At 36.5% G+C, this 18,225-nt stretch overlaps 1 protein-coding gene across 2 annotated transcripts in view, besides 2 other annotated features; it reads left to right on the top strand.

The window, feature by feature from the left end:
• ZEB2 (zinc finger E-box binding homeobox 2) overlaps positions 1 to 18,225 on the top strand; it is a 136,039-nt gene that overhangs the window by 78,254 nt on the left and 39,560 nt on the right. The window contains exons 3-4 of one of the 2 annotated variants that reach the window (NM_014795.4): positions 11,840 to 12,097; positions 16,999 to 17,070. In NM_014795.4, coding sequence (NP_055610.1) covers positions 11,840 to 12,097; positions 16,999 to 17,070 — 330 coding nt within the window. The remainder of the gene's footprint in view (positions 1 to 11,839; positions 12,098 to 16,998; positions 17,071 to 18,225) is intronic. The other variant, NM_001171653.2, reaches the window with a different exon arrangement.
• Positions 9,621 to 11,334: an enhancer, noted in NCBI's record as "VISTA enhancer hs407". NCBI's record gives its function as "enhancer in: hindbrain (rhombencephalon)[4/9] | midbrain (mesencephalon)[3/9] | dorsal root ganglion[4/9]" and the evidence as "EXISTENCE:transgenic organism evidence [ECO:0001131][PMID:17130149]".
• Positions 14,410 to 14,704: an enhancer, noted in NCBI's record as "tiled region #3137; HepG2 Activating DNase matched - State 8:EnhW". NCBI's record gives its function as "activates a minimal TATA promoter and a strong SV40 promoter by Sharpr-MPRA in HepG2 cells {active_cell/tissue: HepG2}" and the evidence as "EXISTENCE:reporter gene assay evidence [ECO:0000049][PMID:27701403]".

Here is an 18,225-nt window from a genome sequence, read left to right as displayed (position 1 = left end):
ATACTTCATAAGATAACTTTGGCCAGAGAATGAATAAAATTTATAGTCACTTTCAAACTGCTCCCTTTTTTTAGGGTGTGGGTCATAGATCATGCAGCTGTCTGCCAACAGATAATCTTGATGAGTAAAAAGAAGCTAACAGAGAAAAAGGTGGCTTAGTCTAAAACACTTAGGAAGGACTTAAAAAATTATTTCCCAAAGAATTAGGGAGTAAAAAAATTGTAAGTACATTTGTTTACAGTAAAAGAGTGGTCTCTTTGTTTGAGGAATTTTCCTTGCCACCTCAGAAAGTGAAAATTTACTCCTTTTTTTTTTTTTTTTTTAGAAAATTAATGCTGGTGTGATTGTTTAACTTGTGTAACCTGTTCCTTGAGGTAAAATGAGGAAGAAGCATATGATTTGGCCTCTCTTTTCAGTGAAGGAAGGAAGTCCATGGAAATTACTGAACCAAACTAGAGATCTAAAGCAAAAGCCCTTTTGTGACACAGATGAACTCAATAGTGCACTGTGACTATCTGACTTTTGCCACGTCCAGGCTTAGGCCGCCAAGCGGCCAGGGTCAGCAAATTCCACTACCTGAAAATGACAGAAGGCGGCAGGGAAGGGGAATTGAGGCATGGGGAGAAGCAGTTGAAGCATACTAGGGAGGCATGAGGTTCTCTCTCTCTCTCTCTCTCTCTCTCTCTCTCTCTCTCTCTCTCGTGCAGCTAAAGGAAGAGAAGGAAGGAAAAGAGGGTGATCATTGAACGACTTTAGGGGCAAGTCTGGAGTTAGGCGCTGTGGTGTCCAAGCAGAGCCGTGTCTGGTGGCGGCAAACTAGATTGCTCCAAGCATGGAGCGCCCTGCTTGAGGACACTTGTTGTTGGACTGTTTGTTTACATGCAGTTTGGGTGGCAAAAAAAGGGGAAAGTCTGGGTGACATCAGCTGCAAGAAGACTTAACCATATGCCATGTCATCCAACCCCCAATTATTTGAACATTCTGAAGGTTAAGACATCAATCCATCCATTTTTCTTTCTCTTACTCTGAATCGTGACATTATTTTCTCTAGTTCATTGACCTTGTTGGCAATTTACACCACCAATATAAGCCTCAGGATCCTTTTGTAAAATGAGACTTGACACTAAATTAGTCAACTAAAAATTTAAAGGGTAAAGGGTCCCCCCAGCCACCCACTCCTGCCCCTCCCTGTACTAAAGTAGAAAATTTGGACAAGGCACACCATGCGTGTGACTCAATTGTTCTGGCCAAAAAATGGGATGAATAATTTTATTTCATAGATGCTTGGTGATTACTGGACTTTACAAAAGTTAACCACTAGTTAAAAAAAAAAAAAAAAAAAAAAAAAAATATATATATATATATATATATATATATATACTGCTTTTGGGTACTGAGGTTGAACAATTGGTCGGGGATAATTCCATAAAATGGATTTAAGTATTTAACAAATAATGTAAATGTATAGAGCAGGCCTAAAATTTCTCCACTGCCTTTGAGTATACCTTTAGAAGTTTACAAATACATGAGGATAAAGCAGTTTCAATAAAATGATCAATTGTACAAAGTATAGAAATATACCAAGCGTCTCTTAAGTAAATGATTACAACATTTAGAAGTATTCATGAGTTTGACATATGCAAAGCAGCCTATCTCTCATGAGTCTGAGTTCCAGCCTCCCTGAACCTTTGTGCATTTCATAGGCTGGTGAACAGCCCAAACATGTAAATAAATAGCCATTCAAAGTGCAAGCATTTTTAAAAGTTTAAAACTCCACACAAGTTCTTTTACAAAAGAGTCCACCCTTTTATGTACCTTTAAAAACATTTAGCCACTTTATTCTTTTGTGTCTTTGAAGAGAAAAAAAATTAATAAAGTTGTAGGATCCTTTTGAATTTAGAAAATGTTGGCAATGTTGGAAAGAAAGACATTCAGCATTTCAAAGTTCTGGTGGGGAAGGAAAAAAAAGATTCTGAATAAAACAATTTTATGTGATTTTGCAGGTGGTTTGAGCTATCATTTTATATGTACGTTTGTACCACTGCTCATTGGAATGTTCATATAATACTGACCTAATTATGCATAGAAAAAGATAAGCCATTTACTTGATTCATTTCTTCTTTTTAAATCAAGAAAGGAACAAAAAGGCTCCTATTTTCTGAAAGAAATTGTTCGCTTTTATTGCAGAAAAGTAGCAGCTTGTGCAGAGCTAGAACTGTAACAATTTTATATTCCAAAGGTTTTGTGTGTATTCGGTTAGTTACAGTAATTATACCCAATAACTGACAGCCAAAATCACGTAGGAGAAAGCAAAGGCTGTTTTCTCACACAGGCCCTGCTGCAGAACATCTGCTGAGAGATTTGCATATTAATTAACCCATATTAACTCTAATTATTCTGGGAAATTATCAAATAAATTGAATTTTCTAATTTTAACCTTTCTTTTACTTGACGCGTGTCGAGGCTGAGAGGACGCACCAGGCCGTCTCACCTGGGCAATGAGCAAAAGATCTTTTCTACCCCTTTTGCTCCTTTAGACCTGGGGCAGCCTGGGGAGCTTTTGTGTGCCTTGTGCTTTTTTGGCTTCTGTGCCTGGTAGGGTCTCCATGCATTTGTTGAGAGAGGGAACATGTGTGCTTGTGAGCACAGATGGTGGATTTATACAGGGGTGAGGAAAGGTGGTACCTCAGAACAGTTGAGCAAACCTTAAGTTTTTTTTTTTTTTTTTTTTTCTTCCTCCCAGCCTGTTGTTTAGGCCTGAGCAAATAAATGGGAGTTTAATTCAATTAGAGCCTGGCTGTAGTCAGTGCCTCATGACAGAAATTATTCAATATTTTTCCCCTCACATTGTTTGGTTTACACATCACTGACTCCCTTCCTTTTGTACTCTGTTTAGAGTGGCCATAATGTGTTGAGCTTTTGTGTCTGCCATGTCACTGTCCCTTTCACCGTTGTCTGGTTTTGTCAATTGTGAGGTGCAATGATGCTGTTTTGAAAACAGGGTCCTAGTCAGGGTGTTGCTATGTGAGTAGGGTGGCTGCAGTTTTAAACATACTACACAGTAAATAATGTCATTAGCCCAATAGACCTGAATCTACTGCTAAGCCTTAAGAGAAATCCTTTGGGTAGGGAAGTGAACTTTACATGCCTTTCTCAGGTATTAGATGTAGCTTAAAACTGAGATTTCAAAGATAAATCTGGTCAGGGCAGTATGAAGAATTGGACTCCATTGCATGATCCCCTTTCAGGCATTTCTTTGGGGTAAGAGGCAAGATTGACTGAGATTAGAATTTTTTGCATGTGATCAAGTTTGTAACGACCCATACTTTAAGCCACAGCGATCAGGAGAAAGCTACTGATGAAACCTCTACCACAAGCAGATCTCCAGCCCCCCTACTTCGAGCCACATCTCTTCTAAAGACCTATGACTCTATTTCCCCCTCAATGATTTCACTTCTCCCCATCCACTAAGATCTATTAAGATGAGCCACACCTCTTGCTACCTTGAAGGTAATTGTTTTCCTCTGGAAGAGCTGTTCTTTCCCATTATTTCAGCTGATGGAGTAGAAGCATTACGGTACCTCCATGTAACATTCCTTAGACTCAAGAATTATTATTGACTTCAGTAAACTGCAGAAAACCAAGAAAGTCACCAAATAGGTCTGTTGGATGGACAAATATTTGAAAGCAATTATTTTTATGGATAGGCTAGAACTCCAGTCTCCTTTTTCATGGAAGCATGGAATGCCTTTTGCAAGAAAAATATTTCTTTAAGAGACAAGCTGTTGCTACTTCAGATGAAGGTATGGGTTCATGCTAAGGTTTTTGAGGGGAGGTGGTTTAATTTCGTGGGACTACAATAGCTAAAAGTGTATTTCAGTTATATCTGTATCTTAGAAAAATGTACAGTTACAGACAAGGTTTAGGGTGGGGCAACTAAAACAATCAGAGAAAATTTTTATAGTTTTTCTATTTCGTGTTTATTTTTTACAGCACATTCCAACGTACTCTGGCAGTTACTGACTTTACACCTTTTATGGGCTTTGAAAGTTGTGTAACCTTTTCAGAGGAAGGTGATAGACACAATATCTATTTACACAAGGACACATTTCCCCTTTCTTTATATTCCGTTTATTCAAGGTTTTATTTCCAAGGTCTTATTACTATAAAACTTAAAGCTAGACAAGGTCTGCCCTCATGTCAGATAAAAAAAAATACCAAAACAATTTTGATGGCTCAGAAGCTTATTTTTTCATACTTCCAGGTCCTAAATAAATTACAGTTATTTTCACATTCCTCTTGAATATCCTTCAGGCATGATAGTGAGCATATTTTTTCTGTAAAGCCCCTTAATACTTTCCTTCTGATGGTTTGTATAGAGCAAGTTGTTGAATGATCGTGGATTCCAATAATTAGAGAGAGTCTTCTAAAATCTTTTTTTCCTTTTGACATATTGTTGGAAGACATATAGTCACTTGATGTATTTATGAAAGTCTGTGGAATTATTGGCAGTAGATGTACAATATATATGAAATTATTTGTGTATAGCAGTTGTTTTGGGGGTCTTCCCTCAGCATGCCATCATGCTAGGCTTGCTGATGAAGGTGCTGTTAGACTTTTTAGCCATCAAAGGGCATTATTGACTTGTGTTCTGGAATATAGCTAAGTATTATGTCCTTGGATTGTAAGCATATTATAGATGTTGACAGAAAGTGAAGCTGAAAAAATTTCTAAAGGATAGAAATAACTACAAAAACTCACTAAATGAAAGGAGCGGTCAGGGGCCTGTATGTTTGAAACATCAATACAATGACTAGTTTCCTTTGGTAGGAGTTAAGTAAGGTAATCAAAACCATTATGAGTCCTAGATATACAGGAAAACCCGAATATGTTTACTTTTGTAAAAAAATAAACAGATGTCAAGTCTTTGGGAAATCATAAATTTCACTGAGAACACTGTGACCTAGAAATACCGTGTCTTCTTGAAAGAAAGTGAATTTACTGTTACAAATTCTTCGACCAATATCTGTTTTTAGGATAGCTTGACAAAGGGAGGGTCCTTGCTTTTATTCTTATTTGCCATTATGTTTATATTTTTGATATTAAGGAAGAGGTTTGGAGGGGAAAATTACATATCTAAGATGTTATTACCTGCATGTTGGAGCCTATCCAGAACCTCAACAAATGTATGGAAATTTGAACCTTTTTGAAAATCACCAGCATACTGAAATTTGAAAACCTCTCCCAGGTACCAGGGAACCTGCTAATATTTCCAGAGGGAATGAGTGGCTGCCATCTTCCCAAGATGCTCCTGTAACCAGGAAGTTGGAGGAGCCTCAGAACTGGCCTCTCTCCACTGCAACCATGGCATTGCAGAAATTCTGCTCTCATTTTATTTAATATGCGTATTTTTTTACATAGCTAATCTGAAATGGAAACATTTTTATCCCTATACTGAGAACTGCTTTTGTTTTATCAGCTGACATTTTACAACTCATTAATTTATAATGCAGGTTTAATGCCTTCGAATGTTCCTGGGATAAAAAATTAAAGTGGCCAAGCTAGTTTGTATAAAGGCTGACTATAGTATGTTAACAATAATTATTTATAACAATATTTTGTATTGGATAGCACATTCCATCTGAATATTTCAAATTGGCATGGTCCCTTCTAACTGGCATTAATTCATTCATCTTGCATCCCCAAGTAATAAAGTTATTCCCATTTTTAAATGGAGAAATCAAGATTCATGCATTTCAGTGACAGATGTTCAAATTCAGAAGAAAATCTCTGTTTGAGTTTGTCTTTGCCTTGTAATACGTATTTGTCACTAGGCCTCCATTATTAAATAAGAAATTGAACCTTGCATTTAGTCCTATGATCTTTACCCACCCAAGCACGGAGGTAACAAGGTAACTGTGATTTAAAAAAAAAAAAAAAGTCAATGATAAATCCCCCCGGATGGGCAAGAGTCACTGGACAAAAATTATTGAAAAATAGCTGCATCCTCTCCTCAGTAGCACATACTTGGAAATTGAAATTTTGTGGGGAAGACAAGGAGGAATAAAGGCTAAGGTTCAGGAGAAAAGTCTTAGAAGGTCTTCCCGACACTTGCCACATGTAAAGACGTTGTAAGAAAGCAGGCCCACAAGGCCTTTAATCCACTGGCTCAAACATAAATGATCTCTAAGCATGTAAGCATAAGAGATTTAGGAAACCAAATGATTCATAAAATTCCAAAACACTTCTTTTTTTTTTTTTTTTTTAAAGACAGGGTCTCATTCTGTTGCCCAGGCTGGAGTGCAGTGGTGTGATCATAGCTCACTACAGCCTCGACCTCCCAAACTCAAACAATCCTCCTACCTCAACCTCCTGAGTGACTGGGACTATTGGCATGCAACACCATACCTGACTGATTTTTTATTTCTTGTAGAGATGGGGTCTTGCCCAGGCTGATCACAAACTCCTGACCTCAAGAAATTCTCCCTGCTTGGCCTCCCAAAGTGTTGGGATTACAGGTGTGAGCCACCATACCTGGCCAAAAGGACTTATTTTAAATTTGAAGTCATATTACCAGCAGAGACATTTTTAAAATGAAGTTACATGTCTGTGTCACGTCTAAGCTGAAGGATTAGGCATGGTCTCTCTCATCATGGCCTTCCTACTTGAGGAAGCATTTGCAAATAAATTTCTAAGTGAAGGGCCAACACAAAAATTGTGACTGGCACAAGTTCAAATCTTCCTTTTTCCTCGTAGCCACCACACATTGCAGCACCAGAGAAAAGACAACAGACACTGAAACAATGGTATTTCAGTGATTATACCAGTTACATCACCTTGCATTTCCATGTTACTGTTTTATACATCACACAGTGCCATTGCACATACAACTTTGTAGGCTCCTATGACAACCTCATAAACAGGGAACCATTATCATGATTTTTACTCATTTCTACCAAGCTTCCTTGGATGATAGGCCAAGGCCACACAGCTGGTTACACGTTGGTTCTGGGACAAGGCAAGTCTTCAAGCTCATAATTCTGTGAACTGCCTCTTTATCTCTATTGTTTCCAAACTATTGCAGGAAACATGGGTGTATTGTTAGATTCTGGTAATTGATCAAATTGGTAGGCTTCTATAACTCAAATTAAGGGGATCCATGAAAGTAACAATCATCAAAACAATTTAAAATTAAGCAACAATCTCCATTTTTGTGGCATGAAAATCCCAAAAAGTCCCAGGGATTTCCATCCCTTACTCTGGTCATGTGGGGTTTAAACTTAGATTGCATTCTGCACTGGGAATTTGTATTATCATGTATGTTTTTGTTTGGCTGTTGTACACCTAAAGACATGCTTTCTGGTACCGGCTTTGCTACCAACTAGCTGTACGGCCTTTGACAAGCCATTTGACCTCACTGTGCCTGTATTACCTCCTTTGTCAAAGAGTTGACTTCAAGTGTCCTTCTGGAACTACAATTTTGTGATTATATTTCTCCAAATAAATTGTAAGCTTCCTGAGGTGAGAATGGCACTTCCTTCTATCTTCTGGATTTGCCACATTGTGGGTATTTAATAAATGTTTGATGATGGCATTGAACGATTTATTGGCACGCTTGAGTAGAGTTATAGGAAATCATTATTGGCTGCCTTATTAACAATTAGCTGTCTATAAGCTGCATATGTAATTTTCCTTTACATCAATAGAGTTTCTGCTTCTGGTGAAGACGAAGTATTGCCCCTTCACATCAGTTCTTCTGTATGTTAATACATTAGCAACTGATATCTTATTTGTACTGTAACTGACAGAATAATGTAGAGAAAGCATATAAGTAGGAAAAGGGGTTAGTAAGGTAACATTGTATAGGGCATCTTCAAAACAACAGTTCTGCTATTTCAAATGTCAAGCTAATTATCAGCAATGTTTAAATGCTATGATAGGCCATTTTTGCAAATGCTGAAATTTTCCAGCAGGTATGGACGTTATAAAAATGTCAAATTTTGCTACTATTCTATTACATGTCACCAGAACACAAAAATCTGAAAATAAAAGTTATATGTATAGGCAAGGAAGAGAAACCATTATTTGTTTTGCATATGACTGTAAAATTAATTGGCATAGTGATATAATTTAGAGTATTGTTTACTTGGAAGGAAGAGTAGAGAGGATTTAATATAATGTAATCTGGTGAAGTGAAAATAATGCTTATTATAGATAAACTATAAAGCCTTTTAAATATAGGCTTTTAGTAATGCATATGCAGATATATCTTTCCAGGCCCATTTGCTATAAAGCAAATTTAAGTATCAGCTTTATGCCCTTTGGTAACCCCATATTATACATACAGTTTTAGAGAAAATGAAACTTTAATATGATTCCACATAAAATGGTGAGCCATGCCAGTAATTCTTATGCCCTTCATATGCAAATAGTTTTATCTTATCCATCAATTATCATGTAAACATAGTATCACATGGCAAATTTCCCTGTAATACAGTACAGTACCTGTATATAATTATAGGTGCATTTTGCCAATGCAACTGTTACACAGAATTGTAATTAATTCCTCTGAAGACTACTGTGAGAGTTTTGGATACTGATGCTGTTTTTGGACATTTATTACTGCTCTTTAGTTGGCTTTTTGCTATGCCTCAGAGACAGATGTAAAATTAGTGTCTATTTTGAGCCAGCAAACAGTACATCTTTCCTCTTGTTTATTGAATTGCAGAAAGGAATTCTTTGGGCTCCCACTTCTTTGTGGTTTTGAAGTAACTGTCTGTTTTTGTGCCAGCCATGTAGCTCCAATACATGTCTAAAATTTTGCTGAGACTCATGCAAAGGGTGGCTTATTTGACCTGTAAGGACTGAATAGAACTTTGCTACGTTATATGGGAACTTCCAGGCTTTTAAATGCTGAATAAAAAGATATATATCATAAGTTCAAAAACAGACACTGGCCTAATATATTCTGCCCAATGAACCTCATTTAAAACCAGTATACGTTGGTTATTATACAAAATTGAATCTCTTCTTTGCAGAGACAAAGCTACATTATTAAGATCTCTTCTGCCAGTGGTGATGATGGTGGGCAAACATCAAAACAGGTCCAAATGGGAAAATGAGCTTATTTTTATTTCATAATGTAAGTGCGGCTAAACCCATCAAGTATTGGCCATTCTAGAGTAAGAATATTTTATGGTGAAAATTTCCACAGTACTTGTACTAGGCAAATCCACTGACTAGACGTGAGGGAACATTTTAAAGGAAAATCCTGGGATTTAGAAGTCGGGGCATGGGGTAGGGATCAGGAAGTGCAAAGTCCATCTCAGTGCATTTAATTTTGATTGTCAGATGGTCAACCAGAAAGAGCAGAATGAGATTGTCTCATTTGAATTCAGATATAAAAACTATGTTATGAATTGTTGTACCTGGATTTAAAAAGGGGTTGGGAGAGTGGCACACCAGCATAATGGCATATGGAAATGCATATCCTAGTTAACACAGCGCTAGAAAAGATGGCATACTGCCTCTGTAAGTGAATTTGACAGCAGTTATTTATTTAGTTTAAAAGTATTTACTACTATTTGTGAGCACAAACCCTAAAGGTTGTGAAGTATTGTTGTCCTGTGAAGGTGATGGATGCTGTACTCCTGACCCTATATGGTGAGACATGACTTCATTGCTTGTTTAGATTGTTCTGATATTTGGGACTCCTCAAGGGCTGTTCATAAATCATTTATCTCTCTTTTTTTTCCACAAGAAAATATTTCAATTGTATTGCTGCAGGAACACTCACGTGTCACACGGGATATTGTGGTCCATGCAGAAAAAGACCTTAAAAGGCATGGGTTTTTTTTTTTTTTTTTCCAGGATAAAGGCCTTTTAATGCCTGTCCAGCCTTAGATAATTTTATTCACTCCTTCTGGACCTTTCTTTATTCCTCCTGTGCCCAGAGATCAGTTTTTAGGAGGTGGGTTGAAAGCTTCCCAGGCCTTAGGAGCTTTTGTTGTAGCCCCCCCATTCCCACTCCCCCCTACCCCCAGCATTCTGAAAATTTGTAAAGAATCTTCTGCTTGTTGCTAAGAAATAGTTAAATCTCAGTCACCAGGAAAAAAAAAAAGAAGCACATTATTGATTGTACTAAGGTATATCTGGACCACACAGCTAGAGCAGAGATGTTAGAATATCTCTCTTTTTGTAGATCTGAGGGCATTACCCAGCCTGAACTTGCCTAAGCCCTTGTGGTCACACCTCTTGAAAAGGTTTTGTTTCCCCCGTCAATTGGTATTCAAACCAGGTCAGCAGATTCTGTTTGCCCGGCTCCGCTGCCGTTTTCATTTTAATTTGCACCTGTTGTGCAGTTGTTCGGAAGGCAAGTGCAGACCCGCGGATTATACAAAGATCATATTATGAGCAGATATGCACGGTGTAATCTTTTTGTCCCCAGCTTCACATGACAAAAAAAAAAAATCTCTCTCTTTTTGTTCCTTTTTTACTCCCTGGGAACCTGTCAAAGCAAACAGATATGACTGACTAAAATTTGTAACTAGACATGTTTCCAGAATTCTCCAAAAGCATTATGAACCTGACACACAATCCTTTTCATTTTTTTCCTCCTTTTCTGCCACTTTTGTATAATCCGATAGCTGGCAAGAGCCACTTGAGATAGCTCAGTTGATAACTTAGCGGAGGATTGCTTTATTAGGCGCAGAGAAATCAAAATGAACCTGAAAATTGTTTGCGCTTTTTTTTTCCACAGCCTTTTTTCCCCCTTTCTCTCTCCCTCTTGTTCCCATGATGTCATGGTTCTAACTTGTTTTTTTGTGTGTGTTTCTGGAGAGTTGGGTTAACAGTTCTTGGCAATCCTGTGTGTGCGTAACGGCTGGTGTGTTTCTCTAGCTGAGCTAATGCCCCGTGTTTATTACTCTAATCTTTCTTGTCTGGTGGTAAAGTGGACAATTTATGTACTAGCATGTAGGCCGAGAGCCTGTGAGGGCTGACTAATTCAGAAACAGCCACCTTCAATTGAGTTCACAGACCTTATTTACAGGCTGTCTATTTTAAGAAAAGCTACTGAGCATTGCTGGGACTGAGGGCTGCAAAAGCAGCCCGCCGGTTCTTGTGAGTTATTTTAACATTTGTGTTGGTCTTGCCTGTGTCACTTTGAAATCTTCTGTAATTATGACACTATGAAGACATCTCAATAGTAGTATTAATGGCCCAGAAGATATGGCTTTTCCTCATTTTCTGCTTAAAAGATTAGGATATAAATGGCCTTAGCACATGACGGTTGACATAGAAGAAAGAGTGAAAATTCAGATGGAGCAGGTTTGTGTATGTGTTTGTGTATTTGGGTAAATAGATGGACGTGTGTGTGTGTGTCTACTGTTTCTAGGGAAAAAACCACAGTTAATATAGTGAAGTCATCTCGTATTTATAGTACAACATTATATAGTAAATACTTCATGTCTCTAAGCTAATAAAATTGTCTATTGTAGATCTATTTTATAAGTTTTTGTGGAGTATCGAAAGTACATATTGCAATACGTCTCTTTACATATGCAGTATAGGCATAGTTTGTGTGTCTATGTTTCTGTTGCTTTTTAGAATTTCCCATCATTTTTAGGAAAAAATTGTTTAAAATCAGAAAGAGCACCCAGCTATAATTGAAAAAGAATAAAAATGCTAAAACCTGAAGGATATTAATTATATTTTCCTGACATGGTTGAGTAATTCAGTTATGAAAATATTAATTATTTTCCATTTAACTAAACAATTAGGGGTGGCTGATGTTTCTCAACAGAGTGTTTAGAGAGTGTGTTTTGTGCTTCTTCTGCAGTGGTGAACTATGACAATGTAGTGGACACAGGTTCTGAAACAGATGAGGAAGACAAGCTTCATATTGCTGAGGATGACGGTATTGCCAACCCTCTGGACCAGGAGACGAGTCCAGCTAGTGTGCCCAACCATGAGTCCTCCCCACACGTGAGCCAAGCTCTGTTGCCAAGAGAGGAAGAGGAAGATGAAATAAGGGAGGGTGGAGTGGAACACCCCTGGCACAACAACGAGATTCTACAAGCCTCTGTAGATGGTCCAGGTAAGTGTCTAAAATCACTTGGCCTCTTCCTGTACCATCTTCACATCTTCAACTAATCTGTTCCACCTAGCAGATCGCCCACAACCAAATAATTAAAATATTTCTTTCCATTGAGCCCTTGCAGAATAGAGATACCAAAGCTGGTGACAGATTATGAAGTGATAGTAATGTTATCACATTGCGGCAGTTACATCTTAGGAAGGGATTATATTTCAGTTTTGATGCAAGTCAAACATGAACCACACTTTCAACACATAACATGAGGTATTTGCACCACATTTACAATGTGCAAATTATGTAACATGATCAAGATCTATACTTTCATGATAGGAAATGGAAGCAAATGTAAAAACTCACAACATATATATGTATATAAAAATATTTTGTGTGGAAATTATGTAGCATTTCAAACCAAATAACTGTCAGTTTAATGTAGCTTCAGTGTCTGTCTGACACCTCCTATTGGAATTCAATCGTTTAATGATTCCCTTTTGTTAAGTGTGAATGTGATTTCACACTTTTACCTGGTCAGGTAGCTTTCTTATTATTTATCAGCTAAGTACTTGATAATGATTCCTGCTGTTTGGTGGGACTCTCAAGGGAAGTAAAAATGGTCCCAGGCCAACTATAATAAAACTAAGGTAAATTATATTCAAACTAAAACTTCCGACAACACTGTGCAAACGGGAAATGTCTTGGTCTAAAATTCACTTATGACGGAGAATCGCTAAGGTATGAAATGTTTAACAAAATACAAGAAATCTTATTCCTGTGAACTTTCTCTGCTCATCTTTACATGGTAAAGTGGCCTGGAAAATTTGTTTAAATGACCTCTCTAATTCAGACCTCATGTCACCTTCATCTCTATTCCCAGGACCCACTGAGAGTTATCATTGTTTACCCCACCTTGTTTTTTCTTTGACAACATAAGCAACAAAAGCATTTTTATAAATAGGTGAAGTGGCTGGGAAGGAGTCTACCTATATGCTGTTGTGATGTCGCAGACTATAAACCATCAAACATAGGCAGAATAATTGTTTGGTATACTGGAAGGAGGATAATAAAAGCACTTCCACTACGAAAGAAAATTAAATGTGAGATGAAAGAAAAAGAAAAAAGACTGATGGCAATTTGAGTACAGTGTATTTGTTTTTCGTTTTCCTAACATACTGTGCCAAGTTTTCTACTCTTTCCGTTTCCAATTTTGCTTTCGGTGAAGGTTTCTCGAATCTCAGCAATCCCACACATAAACATTTATCGTTATATCCATTAAGCCTTAAGGTTTTAGATTTTCAACTATGAGGGAGAACTCAGCCAAAGATGCTTGAAAGATAAATACGTTTAATTAGGGGCAGAGGATGATCATTAAAGGAAGTCTGACTGCTGCAGAAGTCATTAACAATCTTAAATGAAATTTTTATTTTTATGATAGCCATTTACATGTATAATAAGAGCCAATGATTCTTGGGAGCAGTGTGACAGAAACAGAGTGTGGCGAGAACTCATGTAAGACATACTATTTAAATGAGCTGGTGTTAGCTATTCATATTTGTTAATGAACTAGATATGCAGGGCTATAAGAATGAATGTTCTGATGCTTTAAATTTTAATATCTAGAAATCAAGGGTAAGGACCAATTACTAGAATTTCCACCCTTAGAAGAATAATTAATAACAATGTAACAAATGTACAGCCCCAAACCTCTTTTAAAAAAGTTTAATTTAAAAAATTTAATATCAATAGTTGAAAAACAGCCAAACAGCAATGTCAAGCTGTAGTAGTTTGTGATTGTGGCAGCTTTTTGTGTTGGTCATGGATCATAATTCTAAACGTTTTAATATACAGTAATCCATATGAATGCATTGCAGACCCTGTTATCACCTGTAGTTAATGGTGCCTGTGATACAAGTGAACAGGCTGTTCTTTGCTCTTACCTTTATGGTAAATAAACCAGCATTCTGGAGTCACAATAATTAAATAAAATGTAAATCCCTAATCTCATTTGGCTATTTGGACCAAGAAACTTACCCGGCTATTACCTGTCTAGTTCTAATGATTACTAATGATTTATTGTTCTTTTTTTTTATTGTTCTAAAAGTGCTCTGATGTGGTGCCTTGATGTCTAATGAAAAGAAATTGGTCTTAAAAAGCTACTCATTGTTTATCCTGACTCTGAGATAACACATTTTTCTTCTGATAAAATATTTTTCTTATTTATTGTTCAAAACACACAATATAGACAATAACTCTAATTCTGGTGCAGTTTTATTTAGTAGTGTTTTATCCCCGGTGCCTGGCTGTCTACAGTCATACCTCAGCACATAGCTTTACTCTGAGATAAGCCCTCTCTCCTTTGCTCTTTCTCCCATGCTTTCTGGAGTTTGTCTGCAGGATGCAGGTTTTGAACTGAAGAGCGCAGTGGAGTTCTTACTGTGCCTTTCCGGTTCCAGCACAATCAAAGTTTTGTGTTTGGAATTGTCCTTGACATTCTTTCGTCCCACAATGGGGTGGACACAGTGTGCTGGAAACCATGACATCATTATCATTGACACAGACTTAAATAAATCACCTGCATCTTGGCCTCTTTCTGCTTATTCAAGGATTCTTCATCTTAAGGAAGAAAGTGCTCTTTATTTTTACAAATCTTCATCCCAGGGGTGACTGGAAGACGCAAACTTTTACAAGTGTTTTAAAAATAAATATACTATGTGGTTTTAGACACAGTATGCTGAGTCAGAGGTGTCTTAGAGAATGTTTAAGGTTAGACATAAGGCAGAAAGACAGCCAGATTGCCTTTAATTCGGAGGCAATATTCCTAAACTGTGTATCATTATGTCCTTCTGAATATGGATTCACTTGAAACTTAATTAAATAGGCATATACATAACATTTCAAATACATACCTGAAAAGGCTTAGTAGTGTTTCATTTTCACACATTGAGCTTGATATTCAAAAAAGAAAAAGATTGATGCTCAGTGAATCAAAGCAAAGTACTTTCTAGGTAAAAGTGACACCATCTCATCCAATGTCTCTGAAAGATCTCAGTTGCACAGTCTTTGGATAAAAAGGGTTATAACTAAATAATACTACAAAATGCAATTTACACAATGTGCTGACTACACATTTGTATACCCAGCATTTATTAATTTGGGAAGCAACCAACTACTGTAACTTCTCTTTACTTTTTCATAAGAAAATGACAATGAGGAAGGAAGTGCAGCAGAAATCTTGAACATTACCACTATTATGCAAAAAAAAAAAAAATGCTGTTAACTGTTTTCCCCTCAGTGACTTGATGTGCTCTCAGATGGAAAACTTATGATTCTTGTGACTCTTGGCTACCCGAAATCACATGAGATGAGCAAGGAAGAAAGACACAAAAGCTATATTTATATCTAGCCCTGAACTTCTCAGAAATACCTTAATATGATTCCTTGCAGAGACTGATAAAAATATCAGATGAGGGAGACTTTCAAATGATCAATGATTACAATTGACAATACAATATTGCTATATATTAAACTTCTAAATGTTTAATGTAAAATGTCTCTCTGAAAATATTTTTTAAATAAAGGAAAATTCCTTGCTCAGGAATGAATTTAAGTGGTTGTACAGCTTAAACAAATATCATTCAAATTATCTGATTATTATGAGGAGTGAGATTAAATTAGCATCCAGGTATATCTGTGTATTTTACCTTAAGAGGATCATGATTTTTCAGTTCTGATTCCATAAAGAGATTTGCTGCACTGCTTGTAAAATATATTTTATTTTATTTTTGCTGTAACATTTTCTAGAACCTGTTCTTTCATGAAAGTAGATTAGAATATGATAAGCAAAGAATGACCAGGACAGATTTGGAAATTCGTAGAGTCCTAGTTACAAAGTTTCCCTTGTTTTAAGTAAAATGATTATCACAGAGAGATATTCATCCTGGAGCATATTTGGTCTCATTAGTATTGTCATAGTAAAAATAAAAATTTTTAAACTTCACGTTTAATTTACTTAAGAGATTTTTAACTATCAGCTATCCTGCTCTGTCCTCCTACGTCCTCTACAATCTGGTAGGCAGAAAATTTGAGAGTGCCCCTATTTTTCAAATTCTCCCTTATTTTAAAATATTGCAGTTTTTGACAATGACCTTTAATTGTTTATGAATTTTTAACTTCAACATTATATATATTCACCTTCATCAGAACACTGAGCTGTTGTTATATATGTTTCCCCAGAAAATGATTATGATTACCTACAGGGGCATAAATCATGATGAGGACAAGACATTTATGGAGTAGTTGGGATAGGAATAAGGCAGGTACGTTTTAGAAGTTTGTATCAAGCAGTGAAACAGGTATTGTTGTTACTTCTGGGATATTTGTTGTACAAACTGGGCATTCCAAGTTTTGATATGTAGAATTAGGTTTTCAAAAAGTATGCTTGCATAGATTAGCACCATTATAGCCACCCCAAGGGGAAAGAAAAGCATGAAAACAAAATGTGAAATTCTGACTTGCCACTAAGCATCCAGAGTTTCCAGAGGCATAGCAGCCAGCATGCCTCTTCATGAGTGCAAATACTTAGTTGCTTTTGACTCTTATTGAAAAAATAATATCTTTCCCCCATTTGTCACTAGAACTGCCACCAGAAGAAAAGCCCTTCATTTGCTCCAAATAAGCACTTCTGTTTTTCACAGCTTGCAGTAATGCTTAAAGTAAATAAGTTCTTGTGCAGCTAGCACTATTGGATTCATTCAATTGCCTGAACAAAGCTATTGTTTAGAGGTCTACAACAAGCCTTTTCTCTGTTTCCTTTAAAAGAATCTTCCTTGTTCCTGTGCTTGGCATGCTTAGTATAGTAAGCCTTTCTACAATTCTCAAATGCTAAAGATAATTTTCCCCCACAGAAGAAATGAAGGAAGACTATGACACTATGGGGCCAGAAGCCACGATCCAGACCGCAATTAACAATGGTACAGGTGAGTTATGTTGGCCACGCTCAGATCACATTTGTCCTGTGTCATGTGGGTTTAGTGAGGCAGGGAAGGAAACAGTGACACATCCATTTGTATCTCCATGACTTAACAAGTAGTCAACTTTACAGGTCTCTGGTTTTGTTTCAAATCAAAATTTCCTACATTTTGGTATTTTACTAAGCAAATACATCTTTCATTCTCACACCCCTAATTTACCTGTGACGCTCAAGAATACTGAACTCTATGAATGGATCCTTTCAGTGCATGAGTTGGGTGAATTTCTAGTAGTAACTTTTATTTTAAAAGACTGCAAAAAATTATTTTAAAATTAGGATATGATATACCTCTGCTAGCCACCACTTGATATCAGTCGTTGAGAATTCAAATGATAAGGTGTAATTTAGACTGTAAAATTTTTTTTTCAGAAAGACAAATTTCCACGAACATTTCTCTCAATAATTAATCATCTCAGTTCCTTTTAATCCTTTCTTTACTTGTAATTCTCTGCATCCTTGAGCCCTTTTAAATAATTTTTTCCAGGCAGTTTTAGAGAAGAATTGACAAGTTTACTTATTTTTAATGAAGCTAAAAAATTACAGTGGGAAGATACTGAGTGGTGTTTTGTTTTACTCTGCTACTGCAATAGAATGGAGTTTCAGGACAACTGTGATATTCCATGTTTTTTCCCAAACACTGAATGGCATCTTCTCTCACATTCTTACATCACCAACACAAATTTACATGTTCCATCTCTCTTTTCCTAGATGAGACTATTTATTTTGTGGAGGGGAGGGGTGTTGCAAACAGTCCTCTACACTACCATCACAAATATTAGCATAGTGTCCACCATAAAATTATCTTCCAAAATAAAACAAAAAAAAAATGTAACTACTTCTACTCAACTCATCCATGAAAAATAACTTGAAGTTTTATGAAATGTAAAAAACTAAGATGATTTTACATCACCCTTATGTTGATACACATCATGATAGACTGCTCATGTTGTGTTTCTGTTTAAAATGTGCTTATTAATAACTTAAAAGCATGAATTCACTTTCCTGGGTATAAAATAAGAGAAATAATAAAAACCTATTGTCATTCTATTCATTCGAATAATGTCAATTTAAGGTATAAAAATAAAGCTGTACAATAGATGAT

The sequence above is a fragment of the Homo sapiens genome, chromosome 2 (genome assembly GCF_000001405.40).
Source record: "Homo sapiens chromosome 2, GRCh38.p14 Primary Assembly".
NCBI lineage: Eukaryota > Metazoa > Chordata > Mammalia > Primates > Hominidae > Homo > Homo sapiens.
This window is presented reverse-complemented; position numbering and strand designations above follow the sequence as displayed.